The 18,482-nt window shown below is 39.7% G+C and overlaps 1 protein-coding gene across 2 annotated transcripts in view; it reads right to left on the reverse strand.

Moving 5' to 3' along the window:
• Nucleotides 1-18,482, reverse strand: part of LGR4 (leucine rich repeat containing G protein-coupled receptor 4) — a 106,830-nt gene that overhangs the window by 23,458 nt on the left and 64,890 nt on the right. For both annotated transcript variants that reach the window (NM_001346432.2, NM_018490.5), the window contains 2 exons: nucleotides 3,029-3,100; nucleotides 1,676-1,747 (listed from right to left, as the gene is read on the reverse strand). In NM_001346432.2, the coding sequence (NP_001333361.1) occupies nucleotides 1,676-1,747; nucleotides 3,029-3,100 (144 nt within the window). The remainder of the gene's footprint in view (nucleotides 1-1,675; nucleotides 1,748-3,028; nucleotides 3,101-18,482) is intronic.

An 18,482-nucleotide genomic window follows, 5' to 3' on the forward strand; every position in this document is an offset into this window, starting at 1 on the left:
AAAACATGAAAGAGAAACCTATGATTTCTGTGAAAAACATCACTTTAAATCATCTACATTACCAATAAATGTCTCGTACTTTAATGTACTTATTGACCACAAATTAGAGAGAATATTTGTATTTTTTTGGTAATTTTTCTGTTCTACAGTTGAAAATGAGATTTTAGTCTTCTCTTTATTACCCTTTAAACTAGACAAAATAATTGAGTATTTTGATTATTAAATCTTACAAAATGACAATTCAATATGAAGGTCTTGAAGTAAAATATATTCTTAAGAAGCAAAAGAAAACATGACTATTTAAAATGCCTGATGAATTCAGGTCCAAGAGAGGTCAGATGACTTGTCCTGTGTATATCCACCCGAGGTGAGAGAGTGTGTGAAGTCAGCCGAATAACATTTCTATAAGGGAACTCATTCCCATTGATTCATTTTAAGAGTCTACCTAGAACATACCCAATTAGCTGTGGTGAAAAACAAATCCTTATGTTCCATAACTTACCATTTTAGTGAAGGAAGCTACTTAATACAACCACCTTAAATTAAACTTTCATTTCAACTAAGAATTGAATGGCCAACACCGTGGATATTCCTTGTTTATGGGTTAGATACAGTTTAAAGTTTAACTTTACAGCATATATTTTTATTTTCACATTCATTGCTCATTAACTACTAGAATATCTAATCTAAAATCAAATGGTAACCTATAATTTATAATTTCCAGGGATGTCTCTTTGGTGCCGTTAAAAATGGCTTTATGTTAGCAAACTGATGGGACAAGCAGCTCAATCATTTTCACGCTGTATTTTCTAACTTGCGTGCATTTCCTACTATTTGCAGTTATTTCAAAGTATAATACAAAACCTAAGAGACAAATTGTATGCAAATATGTGATGTCGCTAAAACACAATTTTATACCAGCACACATAAGGGTGATAACTATTAACATTTTTTATTCAGAGTGCTTCTGGGGAGATTATTTGTTATTTAAAATTAGACTTCTGAATTCTACCTTTAAAAAGAAAACCAGCATTACTTCTAGGATATAGCCTAGGGTTCTGCATTTTAGCAGTCTCCCCCTAGTGAGTCTGTTGCAAAGTGTGGTCAAAGTACCACACTTAGAGAAACTATGCCCCAGAGTCCCATTGCATTTGGTATTTAGGACATGAAGTGAGGCAATGCAAATTTGTATTCATTATTCTAGTAGAAGCTAATGAAGTTCCTTGTTTTGAAGAATACTTTTTCATTTTTTCCGAGAAGTTCCCTTGACAAAATTGAGGAATTACAATCGATTTGTTCTGATTATCATTACCACACGAAACAGAAACCTCTTTGTGGCTGTTTCTTGACAGTCAAGGCACAAGACACTAAAACTTCTGTACACACATAACTGGTTCCAAAGGGATGCTGATCACCAGCAGTGCACAAGTTCATGGAAGTACACCCAGCAGTGAATACCCAGTAGCTTTCTCTCAGCCTCTAAGACAAGAGAAGAGGTAAACAGAACCACCTCCTTCTCCCTCACCAAAGGACGTTTTGATAACATTGACTAGCTATCTCTGTTTTTATCTCAGATGAAAGGATAAATCTCCTCTTTCCTTACAATTCTAGTTATTTACATCTTTAACAGCCAGAGTAGTCTCTTGGTGAGTCAAGAAACCAAGAAGTTACTTACAAAGACTGCAAAGCACTCAGCCCTCGAATGGCTTCACTGGGTACTGTTTTCAACTGATTATTCTGGAGCGTTCTGAAAGAAAATTTTTGGTTAGTGAGTAACAAGTGATAGTTACCATTTTTTCTTAGAAAAATTCAGAGCCTTTTTTTTTTTTTTTTCAAAAAATATTTCCAATGGGAAAATGGGGGGGAGGTGGAGGTGGAAAGCATCTAAGACAAGAGAATTGCAAAACTTCAAGAAGCACTTGTTGTAAAGCCAGAAAGGAAATCTATACTGCTATCCCAAGCCATGCCCTAATACAGACTTGCTGGGTAATCCATGTTTCCAAGGGTGGTTTTGTTTCTGGTAATTAAGGCACACTAGTTAATGTTCATCACCCTGGGTGCTATTAGTTAATGTTAATTAGGAGCTATAACAAGTTAACTGGGAGGTATAATAAGCAAATCCGTTGGAATTCCTAATGCCTTTTCAAATTGGAATAAAGCAGAGCCCGGAAACATGGACATTAGGTAAAGCCAATTTTTTCAAGCGGATGGCAGATCCCAAGCTCTTAAGGAACAGCAGGCATGTCCTCAATGCATGTGGGGCCAGAAGAGAAATAGAGCTTTGATCATCTACTAGTTAGGGCCTGCCAAATAGATGCATAGATCCATACTGAAAATGAAATTCTTTTGATTTTTTTGCCTGAAGCCATTCCTGTCACATTAATAAAATGACTGCCTGACGTGAGTCATAACCACAGAATAGAAGAGATAAAGGTCCCACCTAGCTCACTGAACCAGAGAGGTCTAATGACCTTCTGAAGGTCATCCAGCATGGTAGTGGCAGAAGTGGGGGCAGTCAGTTCACCTGTTTCCTAATCTGCCATACTCCAGGCTCCTGACCACTGCCAAGAATTTATTTCCTCACCATTCGCTGGCTATACAAATTGTAGGCATCTGAATTCCCTTGAGCTCTAAAATTATTTTAACATTTGGAGCACTTGTAAGCCTTTTTCCCTTTTAGAGTCAGGTAATTCAAAGTTCTTATAGCTATAAAATAAGTAGAAACAAAACCCTACCAGTAAAACTGAAGTAAGGGTTTGCTCCAATGCATTAGGCACCCAAAAAGCCTAACATTCAACCGTAATATACTGGAGGTCAGAATACGTATTATTTAGAGTTTTAACTTTTGTTAATCTAGATGCAGGGTTGCCTAAATCAAACTCTGGCCTCTCATACTACTCACTGGCCACTCCTTAAATCTTTTAATCCTGAACTAAAAGAAACTGTGCTTAACCTAGTTCCAAGCATGTTGACTACGCAGAAAGAAAATACACAGCCAGCTGTGAAACTCTAAAATTGCATTACTTACAGAACTTTGAGTTCTTTCAACCCAGACAAGGCCTTTGGGTGGATAAAAGAAAGGTCGTTGCCCGCCAATTGTCTAGAGAAAAAAAAAAAAAAAGTAGCAAGAAAAAAATAGTAATTCAGACTTAAAATTCAGAACTTACAAAAACCTAATCTGTGATTAAAACTCTATGTTAAACATTTCTCAAGTCTATCTGACATTAAACGTGGACTTAAACCCTTGCTAAAATGATCCTGTGAATCTTCCAATGAGATAAATGTCTCTAGAATTTTTTTTTAAGTCCCAATACAATAATTTAAGCAGGCACATTTTTATTCTGGTGAGGTCAAGCAAGCCAAAACACATTAAACCAAATTAAGTTTGCTATTCATGGTCACTCTGCAGCTTGCAGTGTTTTCTAAGGGCCTCATAAATACAAGACTACTGGTCAGCAGGCAAGAGTGTTTATACAGATTAGAGCAAACCAGTCTGTCAAGGAAGAATGCTTTTGGGAGGAAAGTCAGCCTGTTATCTCTGCATAACCAAGGGCAGCATATCCAGTGCAAAAGAGAGGCAAAAAGTGTGAGTCATTGAAAGCATAACTTTCCAAACAATGGCCTATATATTTTTTTCTGAAGTAAAGAGGTTTTCCTAAAGAAATTTTGACATGACAAATTCAAGTGGAGATAAAAGTAGAATAAGGAAAGGATAAGAATTCTTTGGATCCTTTTGTAAGAAATCTGAGCACCCAATTCATACTGAGCCCTACTTTTCCTCCTATTTCCCTGGGCATAGAGAAATAGAAGAAAAACTTGAACAGAGGATATTAGGGAGAAGAATCAGGATGCAGGGCAGTGATTCACATAAGTTAACTTGTAGACAGGTGAAGTGAAGGAAGGTTTTCAAATGTGTACTCAAAAATGATGATTGTGTGTTCATATGATCAAACACAGGACTCTCCTGGGTCCTGGTTCTGTCAGGGATACTCTCCTAAACAGCTAGATTCTGTAACTATGTATATATATATTTTAATGCTCTCTTCTACACATGTCTCAGGACCACATAGTCACCAAGTCCTCCTTTAAAATTCCTCTGTTAAAATTTATAATTAAATTTTTTAATTTAAAAAATATATAAAACTTAACATTTATAATCCCTCCTTTAAAAGGTATGTATTTCCACTATTCTTCCTATTCCCTCCCTAAAAACTCTGCATCCCTAAGCCTTATTCATTAATTCATTCATTAATTTAAAAATGAGTACCTACTAAGTGCCAGACACACAACATCTTTAGGTTCCCCCACTTCTAATCTGTTCTACTTGTATATCCTGATTTTAGGGATACAAGAAAGACACTTTACCAGCCTTAAAATGTGAAGTCACTGTGGCCTGAAGCTCTACTTTTAGATGCATTATTTTCTCTTGAAGTGGTGTTCCAGTTACTAATAAAATGCAAATTGCCCTGGGAAGTGTAATCCTTACCTAGCATTAACACAGAGGCGATTGCACTGAAGATTGGGGGGGGGGGGGGGCGCGGGAAGGGGACAGAAAAGCAAACAGCCAAAAGACCCAGAAACCAAAGGGGTAAGTATGAAGAATTATTTCTTCAATGGCAAGAATAACAATGCCGGATTCTCAGGCGATACCACCAAGTAGCACAGTTCATGCTCCTAAACTAAATTCTTCCTAAAAAGTCCTCCCACCATACACTTTGTTTCTTACAAGGCATCCAAGTACCTAAATTCTACACTGCATTGCCTTTCAAGGTTTCCCCATAACCCAGGCTCACAACAGCTTGCTTTGTGCTGTCAGCCTTGTAGCCTTCACCTCCCAGGGCTCACCAGAAGTAAAACAAGAGACCGAAGAAGATGGTTTTAAGGCCTCTTCAGTTGCTTCCATTTTAAAATATTTCTCTTTAGCAAATCCTCTTGGTTCTAGACTAGCCAGCTTTATCACTACATTTTTTACTTACTTATTTATTTTATTTATTTATTTTTTGAGACGGAGTCTCACTCTGTCGCCCAGGCTGGAGTGCAGTGGTGCAATCTCAGCTCACTGCAATCTCTGCCTCCTGGATTCAAGCAATTCTCCTACCTCAGCCTCCAGAGTAGCTGGGATTACAAACGCCCACCACCACGCCCAGCTAATTTTTGTATTTTTAGTAGAGACGGGGTTTCACCATGTTGGCCAGGCTGGTTTCGAATTCCTGACCTCAAATGATCCGCCTGCCTTGGCCTCCCAAAGCACTACATCTTTTAAATGTTTCACCTAGCAACCTCATTTGTACCCCCTTAAACACCCAACTGCAATGCTGCTCCTCTTGAAAGCTTCAGTTCTTATAAATGTGCCCTATGCTTGAACACTCGGAGCTCATAAACTTGGGTCACAAGCTACCGTCTACTGGTTGTTTCTTGTACATTAGTCTTGTGGGCCAAGTACAAATGCCTTCAAGAACAGGATGTGCATCTCAAACTTCTGTTACCACCCACCAACATGCCAATTCATGAAACAGAAACTGCTTTCTCAGAAGCTCCTCCTTGAAAATGCTCACCATTCCGATGCCATAGCATCCCAAAGTCTACCTTAGTGCAAGCTTGGTACAAGCAATCTCAAAGGGACCCCGGTCTCACCCATTAAATTCAACTGATAATGCTCACAGCTGTAATGCAAAGTGCTTAAAAGGTCACATTTTAAAAGATCAAATTGCACCATAAAAGCCATAAGAGGCAGTAGCCATCTTTCCCCAGGGCCTCAGATAGCCCTGTGACTGCTCTTCCAAGTGTTAAAAAGCTAGAGTCCTCCAAAAAAGAAACACTATAAACAGAGTAAGGCTGTTACAGGATTCTTATTATTCTTTTGTCTCTAATATTAGTTGTGAATGTCCTTGTATCTATGGGCTTTCCTTGAGTTCAGCCTATTGTGCTGGGCTCATAAAAAAAAAAAAGTATTTTATAAAGTAACAAAGTGGCAAAATGCAGAACACCTGATTATCTTAACTTGTCAACAGAAAAGAGTGTTTGACCACATTAGCCAAAATATTTGCTTCCTTTTCCCAAATCTCTGCCCGTTTTATAAACCATGAGAAAACTAAAGTCACCTAACTTCAAAAAGCATTCTCTTTCTCCTCTATTTATCTTTAATATAAATGACAAAATGAGCTCTGCATGAGGCTTATCCTGAAATACAAGCCAACGATCTGGAGAAATAAACACTACTAGTATGTGGTGGACAGTGATAATGCTGTCCAAGAGGACACTCTACTTTGATTACTTAGTTTGTTAGTAGAGTAAACATATCCTGTGGAGCCTTCAGGAATGTATCTACGTAAGTTTACGGAGCTGCTGTGTTAATGAGTAACAAGCACAGCAGCGTGGTAAAAGCTCTGCAGCTCCAGTAATTGCACCCGCCAGAAGCTCTTCACATGTTGCTTATTTTATGAGCTAGTATTTCTTATAGTAAACCTTGGGGATGCTTCATGTCTAAAAGCTCAGATTCAGAAAAGAGCAAAGTAAATAAATAGCAAGGTTAGGAAAAAAATCCCAAATTCTTTGGAAGAAAAAAACTATACGCCTACAGTAGTTGCAGACACTGTGATACTGATAGCTGGTACACAAACATTCTTTCATTTTAATCATCTCAAGACAACTGCCCTGCTTTTCTGAGTCCCTGAGTGGTTAGGTGACTTGGCATAAGTCACACTGCTTGTACATGAAGGAGCCAGCATTCCAGTTCTCTTGCCCGGCTGGCTGAAATACTTATCCACTTCTACCTGTATTGTGATGCCTCTGGTAGTCACCAAAAGATTAGGAAATAATTCACAGAAAAGGTGGGGCAGAGTGGACTTGAGCAAGTTAACAGCCTTGTCTGAGTATCAATAGATGTCACCTAGCAGAATAAAGCTAGTAAGGAGAGACTATGCATTAGGAGCCCAGAACTGCAGTTACGGAGAAGTTCCTAACAGACCTACAGTGCCATCCTTCCCATAGCCAAAGATGACCAGCAAGAGGGGCTGAGAATGGGATTCCCTGAGTGCCCAAAGGTAGGGCATGCCCTAAACTCAGTGAGACTTAGTTAAGGATACATACCATTCTCTGTTGTTTGTTTTTTATTATTATTTTTTTTATTTTTTTAGGCAACTCCGGAGGAAAAAGAGGTGGCTGATCCTGAGCAGGAATTTGGCCCTCTATTAGCAAAGACCAGCCACTTCCCATTCCATGCCTGGGTTTGCACTTCTGTGCTATAGCCAACAGTTTTCGTAGCTTCTCACTACTTCAGGACCTATTGGCTGCCCTCAGAAAACCTTTTTCATTGACTAAATCTTGTTATTTATATTTTTCTTTTTGTCCCACAAACAATATTCTTTTACTATTTTCCAGTGGCTGTGAAATACTAAAGGAAAAAGATAATTAGGGTGAAAAAATAAGAGTGAAAGTGGTATGGTTTTCTGTTTGTGAAGGTGGAGAGTCCCAGGCATCAGTTCTTTCCCCTCCGTGTTCTGTTTCCAAAGACCACGAGAGTGTCTCTCTGCAAGGTTTCAACCCATCCACTCTTTGACTCTTCCTGTTATCACCTGATTTTTTTTCCTCCTGGACTACTGCCATGAACTTCCACAGGATTCCTGTCTCAAACCACTTAATCTGAAAAAGCACAATTCTAAGCATTTTCCCAAAGGCTCTCTTTTCCCCTGGTGCAACTAAGCACCGTTATTACATCCAAACACACCATGCATTGCCACCTCTGACTCTTGGCTCACACCATCTCCTTCACTTGAAATACCCACAACTCTGCCCTCTACAAACTGAAGCCTTGTTCAAGTTGTCCAAGTAGGGTACGCTACCACCGGTATGAACTCATGATATCACCTTCCTTTGATTCCACGGGTACCTTAGACAAAGCTATCCCATTGGGTGCATCTTATTCTGCCTTTAGTTCCTTTGTACTGCTCTGATCTTCTTCAATGATCTTATATGTCCCTCATGAGCAGGGACTAGGTCATCTTTATTCTATATTCCCTTGTATGACCCCTTACAAAGACAAGACACTTGGTATTTGCTATAATGTCTCCGCTAAGCCCCATTGTAAGACTCTGGATTTGCAAAGCTAATATTACTACTAAAAGGGTGAGAAAGCTTCCTGATTATTTTCCCTTTTCTGCAACTTTTCTTATTTCATTTCTACTCCCTCACTCTCCTAACAGGAAAGAACTACGTGGCTAAAGTGTCGAATGCCAGGGCAAACATTTTATTTCTCGACATATGCTGGAAGCATATTTTCTTAAGGAAAGGTGGGGAGGAACTCTAAACATGGGAACATCAGTCCACTGGTCCACAGTAGTATCTCAACACACGCTGTGTTGTGCACATGATCACACAGAATTAAAACAAGTCTAGCAGGATTTCAAAGGGGACACCGTTTACCTCAAGGCAACTCCCACTTACTCTGTTTGCTACAACAGCCCCAGAAGCAAAGAGAGCAAAGACAGAGAATGGAGAGAAAGAGAAAGGGCAGAGGAGAAGCAAAAAGTAATCCTCTAGATTTCCGCTTTCCCACTGGATTTGGAACCATTCCAGGAAGCGGCATACAAGTGGCTCAGTGTGCAATGTCTCTATGAATCTCTTTTGTGTGCATTTATTATTCATAAAGACCATGGATTGACATTAGGGGCTCCTTCCAGGGAAAGCTTTTTGGAAAGCAAGAATTTTCAATAATATCCTTGACTCTTAATGCATATATGACCTGAAATTTCCTATCTGCTCTCCCTTCCAGCAGGGGGAAAATGCAGGAACTGCGCTGTCTTAAATATGGGGCACTGGTCAAGGGTGTGTGTGAAGGACTAGGCCACATGTCAGATGGTAATCTGGGCCAAAGTTAACTCCTTCATGAAATGCACTGAGCGACACTAGAGTTTCTTCACTTAGGAAGCAGCTTAAAAAACAAGAGAGGCAAGTGTGAAATAGAGAATTTACCAATTGGTGTTATTTCTCTGAGAAATGATGGGACTTAGGTTTCTTGTGGTCTATTACAGAAATTTCATTGTAGCCTTTTGGCTGGAATTCTAGCCAAGAATTAGTGGAGTAAGAAATACCATATATACACTGATTAGACATATGGACTGAGCAGCAGGGAGGGCACATGAGGATTCAGTGGCTTTCAGCAGCTGTTGCGAGGAGACGTCGGGCAGAAAAAGCAGAGGGAGACTACAGCAACTGTGCACACAAATAATAGAGTGCTTTCTTACTAATGGCAATTTCCCTTTCCCCTTATGGAGAGGTTGAAGACTAGATAATAAAGCCAGAAGACAGTGACCACAGCCTCCCATTCACTCATGTTCCTACCTTCCCTTTGCAGAGGTGGTTACCAGATGGCCTGGCATTGGGCTCCCGTCAAGTCCTGCCTGAAAAGTACTTCGAGCACCACCATTCCCTTCTGACCAACATTTATCTACCCCTCAGCAATGTTTTCTCCTCTTCCTCTTTCTCTCTCTCTCTCTTTCTCTTTTTTGAGACGGAGTTTCATTCTTGTTGCCCAGGCTGGAGTGCAATGGCAGGATCTTGGCTCACTGCAACTGCCGCCTCCCAGGTTCAAGCGATTTCTCCTCCTGCCTCAGCCTCCCAAGTAGCTGGGATTACAGCCATGTACCACCACACTCGGCTAATTCTGTATTTTCAGTAGAGACTGGGGTTTCACCAAGTTGGTCAGGCTGGTCTCAAACTCCTGACCTCAGGTGATCCACCCCCCTCAGCCTGCCAAAGTCCTGGGATTACAGGTGTGAGTCTGAGTCACCAGGCCTGGCCCTCCTTGTTTCTTTCTATACCTACTTTTGAAGACACACATAGGAAGTATCACAGGTGGTACCCAAACACAGCCAGGCTGCTTCTCCTGGGATGCCATTCTATTCCCTCAAATGGATGGATCACCACAGTGCCGCATATGTGTAAAGAACACTAGGCACAACCACCAGCCCATGATACTGCCTCCAGAGAAAGCATTTCTAGTTCAAAACTGAACTAAGGCATTTAACAGGATGTGAGTGACATTCTTTTATTAAATGTAATTTGAAATCAGCAAGCTCCAAAATTTTGGCAACTACTTTTTTTTTTTTTTCTTTTTGAGATGGAGTGGAGTCTCGCACTGTCTCCCAGGCTGGAGTGCAGTGGCGTGATCTCTGCTCACTGCAACCTCAGCCTCCTGGGTTCAAGCAATTCTCCTGCCTCAGCCTTTGGAGTAGCTGAGATTACAGGCGCCCACCACCATGCCCAGCTAATTTTTGTACTTTTAGTAGAGACAGGTTTCACCACGTTGGCCAGGCTGCTCTCAAACTCCTGACCTCAGGTGATCCACCTGCCTCGGCCTCCCAAAGTGCTGGGATTACAGGCATGAGCCACCGCACCCGGCTGGCAACTGTTTTAAAAAGCAAAATACATACTTCTTAAAGTCCTGAGCCATATATTTATTAATATGTCAAGGGCTGACTATGTGTTCAGAACTATGTTGGCTCCTGTGAGAAATAAAAACTGAAAGAGGTACACTGGTTCCCATGTAGGGGCATTTGGTATCAATATATGTAATAAAAAACTATCATTTGTGTAGTACTTCTCATTTTCGTCATCCTATTATTATACAGGTTGAGCATCCCTAATCTGAAAATGTGAAATCTGAAATGCTCCAAAATTTGAAGCTTTTTGAGTGTTGACATGCATGACACTCAAAGGAAATGTTCATTGGGTATTTTGAATTTCAGATATTCAGATTTAGGATGCTCAAGCGATGTAAATATTCTAAAATCTGAAAAAATCTGAAATACAAAACACTTATGGTCCCAAGTATTTCAAATAAGGGGTACTCAACCTACTGGCCCTCAAAACCACCCTGTGTCATGGGTCAAGCAAGCTTATCGCCCCCTACTCCTCCTGCTTTTTTTGTTTTTCTTTTTTAACAGATAAGGAATGTGAGCCTGTTTCCTACGTGCCTTCTCCAAAGACCTACAGCACCTAAATAATGTAAATCCCAGGAATAAAACAATGTAAATAAACTAATGTAAATCCTAGAAACAAAAAAGTGTTGTTTTGTGTTATTTTCTTTTCCTTTTTTTTTTTTTGAGAAGGAGTCTCACTCTGTCGCCCAGGCTGGAGTGCAGTGGTGCAATCTCGGCTGACTGCAACCTCTACCTCCCAGGTTCAAGCGATTCCCTTGCCTCAGCCTCTTGAGTAGCTGGGATTACAGGCGCCCGCCACTATGCCTAGCTAATTTTTGTATTTTTAGTAGAGACGGAGTTTCACCATGTTGGCCAGGCTGGTCTCCTGACCTCAAATGATCCACCCACCTTGGCCTCCCAAAGTGCTGGGATTACAGGTGTGAGCCACCGCGCCTGGCCTGTTTTGTGTTATTTTCTACCGTTGACTTCAAGAGGACCGGAGGATATGGTTACTTTCTTAGTGAATAAAGAGGGCTAACAACTAATAGCATCCTTTATAGTTCTGCTTCGACACTGTTGCTATCAGTATAAACCTCATCTAAGAAAGCACATCAGAACAGTCCTATATCAACTAATGATGTACTACCCCATTTCTTCACATACTAGGGAAGACTTTTGCATCTTCATATAACTCTTATGAAAGTATATGTAAAAATTTTATATGTTTTAAGAATATACATGAATTAAGAAACCCTTATTATGGAAATTCTCAAGGTTTTAGAATAGCTTTCATTTGCTGAGAAGGGAGAAGTTATTTCACACATATTTCATATTATATATTTCCATTTAAATGCACAACAATGAAAGCAGTAATGCTTAACAAAAAATAAGTACGTTTCTGCTAAAACTTGGTTTATAGGCCATCTAGAACTCTTCTACCTACTAAAGAGCTTTATATTCAATTCACGGAAACTTTAAGTTCCACCTGCACCGAATTGGCCTTTGCGTCTCCCACTTCTTACAGGAACCCATGGAATACTTTATTTTAGAGGTAAATCAGTAAAAACCCAGGCAACAGTTATACTTCCTGAGCAAAGTTATCCTGACAACCTAGTCATTTACCCTCTGGCAATAAACACATGCAATATCCACCCATGTGAGGAAATAATATGTTCCAGCTTTAAAAAAAAAATACAGCTAACGTCAACCAACAAATATTTATTGAGTTTTTACTACAGGCTAAGTACCCTAAGCATGGCAAAGGAGGTATTGAGTTTTCCCAGGACATTTCTCATTTCATTTCTTTTAAATAAGGACAGTTCATTAATCACAAACTTCAACAGAATTCCGTTTTTATATAGACTGATAAGGTTTCTTACATCAATCAATTCAAAATGAGAAGAAATCCTTTGTCTTAACCCCTCCCTCAATTTCAAGTTCAAGAATGTGGTAACTGTCACCAAGGTCATATAGAAGTGTGACAACAGGCCCTGCCCTTCCTTAGAGAAAAGTCAATAGAGTTGAGGGGATAAGTACACACTGACACACTTGAAGCACGAAATAACAAGGCATGCAATACGCTGCTAAGTGGTGAGAAGTAGAGAGTGCAAGAGGGGCTTGGAAAAGGAAGATCAGAGAAGGCTTCATATGGCAGAAAGGGCTCAAAATGGCTCTATAAAAATGGGTAAAATGTGAATATAGAGAGGTACTCTGGCAGACAGACCCTGTTGGTTGCCCACCTAACACCCATTCACGCCTTCCTGGCAGAGCCTATATTTGTTCAAATATCCTCCCGTCCACATGACTCAGCTCCATGAGTAAATACCAACTGGCCTTAACCCTTCCTGCTGGTCCCATTCCAGTAATTGGTTTAGGGATAGACCTGTGACCCCAGCTCTGGTTAATGAAGTGAGAGGAAGTTTACTAGGGATTTCTGAGAAAGACAGCTCTACTCCTAAATGAGAACGCATTAGAAGGATGACCCTTTTCTCCTTCTAGGTGCTTTCCTGTCTGAATATTCTATGTGGAGTGATAACAGGATGGTACAGACCCTCCTGGGGAAGAGCACACTAGAAAGTAAGGAGATACCCTGGGTTCTTGACGACGTGGCTGAGCAACTCCATAAATCAGCCCTGGAATAGTTCTACCACCTTGTCATGTAAGATAATATACTTCCTTACTGTTTAAAAGTTACTTTTAATTGAGTTTTGTCACTTGCTGCCAAAAGCACCTTAACTGCCTAAATGATAACTACTCTTCTTTTCTTACCTAGTAATAAAGTAAGAAAAGATTTTAGTCCAGGCAACAATATACCCAGCTCAAAGGTCCTGTTTCCCAGCATCCCCTGCCGTTTGGCCATGTGACTAAGTTCTAGCCAGTGAGATGTGAATAGAAGCATTGTGCGGTATGCTCAAGATGCCTTCTTAAAGAAAGCTGGCTACTGGGAACTATGCCCCTCTTTATTCCCTACTTCATCCTATCTACTGCTGAGGATAGGGTTTTGATGGCTGCAGCTCCAGTACACAGTCATCTAGTGATCTTGACGTAGAAGCAAATACACAAACAACTACAGAGCAGAATGTCAGGGCCTACGTCTCTGCTAACTTTGTGATGCATCATAGCAGCTCCAGGTCACCAGGCTGCAGATTTCATATTCAGGTAAATAAAATAAAGCCTGATGTGTTTAAAGACACTGTTACTTGGAGTTTTCCCTTATAAACAGCTAAATCTAATTGTAATGTAAGAATTTAGGAAAAGAGCTAAATTTGGCAAGCCACACTGTAATAAAAGCAGCACAATTAAAGACAGTACATCCAATAAACAAAGACTAGATAGGATAAGAATGTTCCACAGCTGGGTGCGATGGCTCATGCCTGTAGTCCCAATACTTTGGGAGGCCAAGGCAGGAGGATTGCTTGAACCCAGGAGTTAGAGACCAGCCAGGGCAACCCCATCTCTACAAAAAATACAAAAATTAGCTGGGCATGGTGGCATGTGCCAGCTACTCAGGAAGCTGAGGTGGGAGGATCTCTTGAGCCCGTGAGGTCAAGGTTGCAGTGAGCTGCACTGCATTCTAGCCTGGACAATAGAGTGAGACCCTGTCTCAAAAAAACAGAAAGTTTCTAAAACTGCTGTTCATAACACCACCACAAAGCAAGAGACTTGTTACATAAAATGTGAATCATCCAAATGATAAAGCACTATGCATTTATTAAATGATGGTAAAAACTAGATGTATTAATATGTAAAATTATAATAAGGCAGATATAGCATAAGTGGTAAATATAGTAGGAGTCTATTTTTTAAAGGAAATTGTATACATATACTCAGAGAAAAGTTTGGAAACATGTACAAAATATTAACCATAGTTATCTCTCCATAGTAGGATAATGGCTCCATATCTTTCAAATATGATACATCTTCAAGATTTAAAAAACAGTATCCACTTATTTTTGTAATTGTTTTTTAAAAGTCCAGTTTATATTAAGCATTTTTATAACTATGATTTTTTTAAAAAGCTGAATGTATCTGTGATACAAATATTCTAGCATCTCTAAAATGATCATCTTTGAAGTATGCATATAGTCCAAACTAACAGGTAGTGAACAGGGGAAAATGATGAACAAATTCTAAGTCAAAGGTCCTACTAAAGCACATATTTATTGTATTGAATAAGCATGGCTTGACTAAGAGTGGTCAATGTATGAAAGAATGACTTAGCCTATTTTCTTGCTGGAAAATTGAATCCTGCTAGTAGAAAATCAAATACATTTTCATTTACTTACAGTCAGTACTATATTTAGCCAAATAATAGTCAGTATTGATTAAAATAAATAAATGAGCCAGCAAACCATGGTTTCATTTGCCTCGCTACACTTTTGGAACCCCATGCCAAACACTATAATACTGAACCACTTGATTCTCCTGTTTGATTTCTACTAGTCTCCTATGAAGTCCTGATTTATCAAATCCAAATTTTGAGTCCATCACATCTTTCATCACCTTCGTTCCTGGGCTGCTAAGCACTATGGGACAAAATTAAAGATCTAGTTGGTTTCACTACAAATTTATACTATCTAAGCCCAACTGAGGGCTTACGATTCTTCAATAATACTTTGTTCATTTCAGACTGGCCCAATTAAACAAATGTTTCCCACAGTATGCCTAGTCCCTAGATCCTAGTGGCCAGTGAATAACTATGGTTTCTTTCTGCCCAGCAGGTCTTCCTTTCTCTTTTCTTCTGCTTCCTTTGGGGAATTCCCAACTCTAAGCAGTCCTATTAGGATGAGTCCAAAACCCAGGTTGCACCATACCATCTCAAACAGAGTGATGGTGCAAGGACAGGCATACGAGGTCAGTCTGGCCAATCAGGATCCCCCTAGGAGTTTTGCAGTGAGGAACACTTTTAGATATTTATTTTGGGTGCCTAGAAGCAACAATGTACTGAAAGGTGTATTTCCCCACTCTATGGAGACAGGCTATTTGCAACAGGAAAGAATGAAGCCAGAACACAAAAGTAGAGACAACTGAAGCTAAGAAATGGAAAGCATGAGAAAACTCTTGTAGCTTTTAAGCCTCGAGATCCAGTAACATATGAAGCCAACTCCACTTCTGGACTGTCTAGTTCTATCTACATGCAACAATAAATCCTCTATTATGCCTCAGCTGGGTTTCTGTCTCTTAAACCCAATAGACTCCAGTCAAATGCAGTACAACTTCTAAGCTTTAACCACTCTCCAAAAACCACCTATTAGCAGTCCCCAAATGTCTGTTTCCTGATGAGCTTCTTTACCCAAAGTCACTTTCAACAACTTACTGAAATGATTCCAAAAATACTTAAAGAAGTCAAGGCCCTTTCTCACTAGTCATGGGCATCTTTCTCCAGCATGTCAGTGTTGATCTCTCATTTCTTTGTGAAAAACCTCTCCTCCCACAGCTCCTGGGGCAGAGTTCTGCCCCAGTTCTCCTGCTCCTCCGGCACTTGGTCTTCTTCCCACACCCTGATTCAAGTGTTTCCCAAGGAGTTGTCTTTGGCCTTCTTCCCTTTTCTTCTACCCTCTCTCCCTTGGCAAGCTCTTTCAATCTAATGTTTCCAGTAATGACCTCAAAATAAAAGACTCCTAAATCTATACCCACGATACACTATTCTATAATCTATGCCCTTCGATCTCTATCCTGGACTCCACTCCTGAATTTCCAGATGCCTCCACCCATATCCCACCTGAACTCCACATGTATGTTAAAAACAGCATTTAATTATCTTCTCTTCTAAAAAAATTTCTCTTTCTGCATTATTGCTAATTTTCGTCAAAGCACCACCAGACTCCTGGTAATCTTAAAATTCATTGTTAATGATGTTACCCCTATCATCCCAGCCAAGACATTCTCTTGATTCTATTTCCATAACATCTTTTGAATAGGTGCCCTCCTCCCTATCCCTGCCTCCCATCTGCCCTAATTTGGATTCTCATAATTCTCACCTAGACGATTGCCAGTGGCATTTTCATTTCTCCCTGAACTCTCTCAATTTCAAACTCTCTGCTATGAGACTACATTTATTGAAGGTCATATCTGAACAAATCATTCCCTAGCTCAAAAAAACTTCAAGAGTCACTCAAGAGTTTAAAGTCTGTTTCAGTCTGCCAAAATGTCCTTAGTCTAGCCCTAAGCTCTGCGTATCTTTTCCATAACTTCCTTTCAATAATTCAAAATTGCAACCAAACCAACCATTTTTACCACCTATCCCAGTCTGTGTCCCCATCTTTGCTCATGCTCCTCTGCAGGTCTTTGTACATGTCCTCTTGAATAACTCCCCCTATCCCCTCTAGGCTCTCCAGAAATGCCATCGTTCCTTCTTGCTAGAAGTAATTTTCCTTCCAATTTGAATTCCCATAGCGAGTATACTATCCCTCTCCCTTGAAAGCAAGAATCTCATTTGATCCAGCACTGAACATAGTGGTTCAGCCAACAAAAGTTTGTTGAATTTACTATACATTGTCTAGCAAGTCCTTCCTCACCCTCTCCACATCTACAGGGGCATAGGCAGATCTGGGATTGACACCCAGCTTATAATGAGCTATGTAAACTTGGGTCAGTTACTTAACCTCTCTGATGAAAAGCTTCGGCTCCCAATCAGCAAAATGGGAATAATGATAGCTCACAGAGTTTTATGAGTTAAAATAAAACAAAACAATGTTTTCTAGAAGGGCCTATACGGCATATTAGCACAAACTCCCTTATGATTTATCTGTTTTCACCCTTAATCTCTACTCTGAGAGCTCCCCAAATGACACACTATAGGCAATGTCTTGAGTAAGATAAGTAACACTCCTCTATGACTTCTGTATGTGCTTCCCAACAGTAAGGGTCGTGATCTTTGCTACCAAGTCATCCTACCAGAGGGCTGCAAAGTGGAACAAGAGAATGCTTCCAAAGAAGTTAATATTTTTAACTGTGAAACATCACCAGAGCAACTGAGGAACTATTTTGCTTTTTCTGGGAAATTACTGCAGTCAAGAGAGCTTATCTGAGAAAGCTGCATCAAGGGAGTAAACGTTAAGTGAGTCAAACTTTAGTTTGGAAGCAAAGGGAATTCCTTGTATTAGAAGAGAACAATAGCTACTTTCTACAGCTCTGAACAACCCAGGAAGACTATTTGAGACTATGCATCTCAGAGATATAAAAATTGGTAAGATATAGAAGAGATGACATTGAACTCTGTAAGGTCTAATTCTGGCTTAGTTACATACTAACTGTGTTACTTTGGACAAGCCACTTATCTACTATTGGGTCTTGATATTCCCATCTGTAAAATGGTATGGCTAGATAAGGAAATTTTATTCTAGGAAGAACTCCTTGTTCACAAATTTGGTCAGCAAACTTACTACAGGAAATACTGGGCAGCTGATCCCCTTTGACAGTTAGATGTTGACCTACTTAGAGTTGCAGGTAATAGTGACTGGATGGTCCCTTTAGCTCCCCTCCAATTCTGTGCCTTTTGAGGCAACATTATAGCTTAGAAACTAAGAGCAATGACTTGAATCAGATGAACATAGATCCAATTCCTGGCTGTGCTTTTACTCTATGAGCACAGTTAGGTTTTCCACCTCTCTAAAGCCTCCGTGTCATCACCTGTAAATAAGTAATAATAAACTCCTCATAGGGGTCTCATGAGTATTAAATGCAATAGAATATATTTTTAGCACATAATTAAGTTTTTAGCATTAACTTAGGTAAAGACTATGAAAAAATACTTTTAGAAATTTAAAATGAATTATTGAAACACAGGAACCAGATATAGTTTATTATTCTGGATAATATCCTGGACCAGAATATTTTTTTCTTTTTCGCTAAAGGATATCAGTGGGACAGCTGTTGAAATTTGAATAAGAATTGTAGATCAGGTGATAACATATATCAAAGCTAGTTTTCTGAGTTTGACAATCATCTTGTGGTTATTCAAGAGAATATCCTTGTGTTTCTGGACTACACACTGCAATATTTAAAGATTTATCTAAAACTTACTCTCAAATGGTTCAGAAAAAAATGTACATATATTTTGTA

This window comes from Homo sapiens, chromosome 11 (genome assembly GCF_000001405.40).
Source record: "Homo sapiens chromosome 11, GRCh38.p14 Primary Assembly".
NCBI lineage: Eukaryota > Metazoa > Chordata > Mammalia > Primates > Hominidae > Homo > Homo sapiens.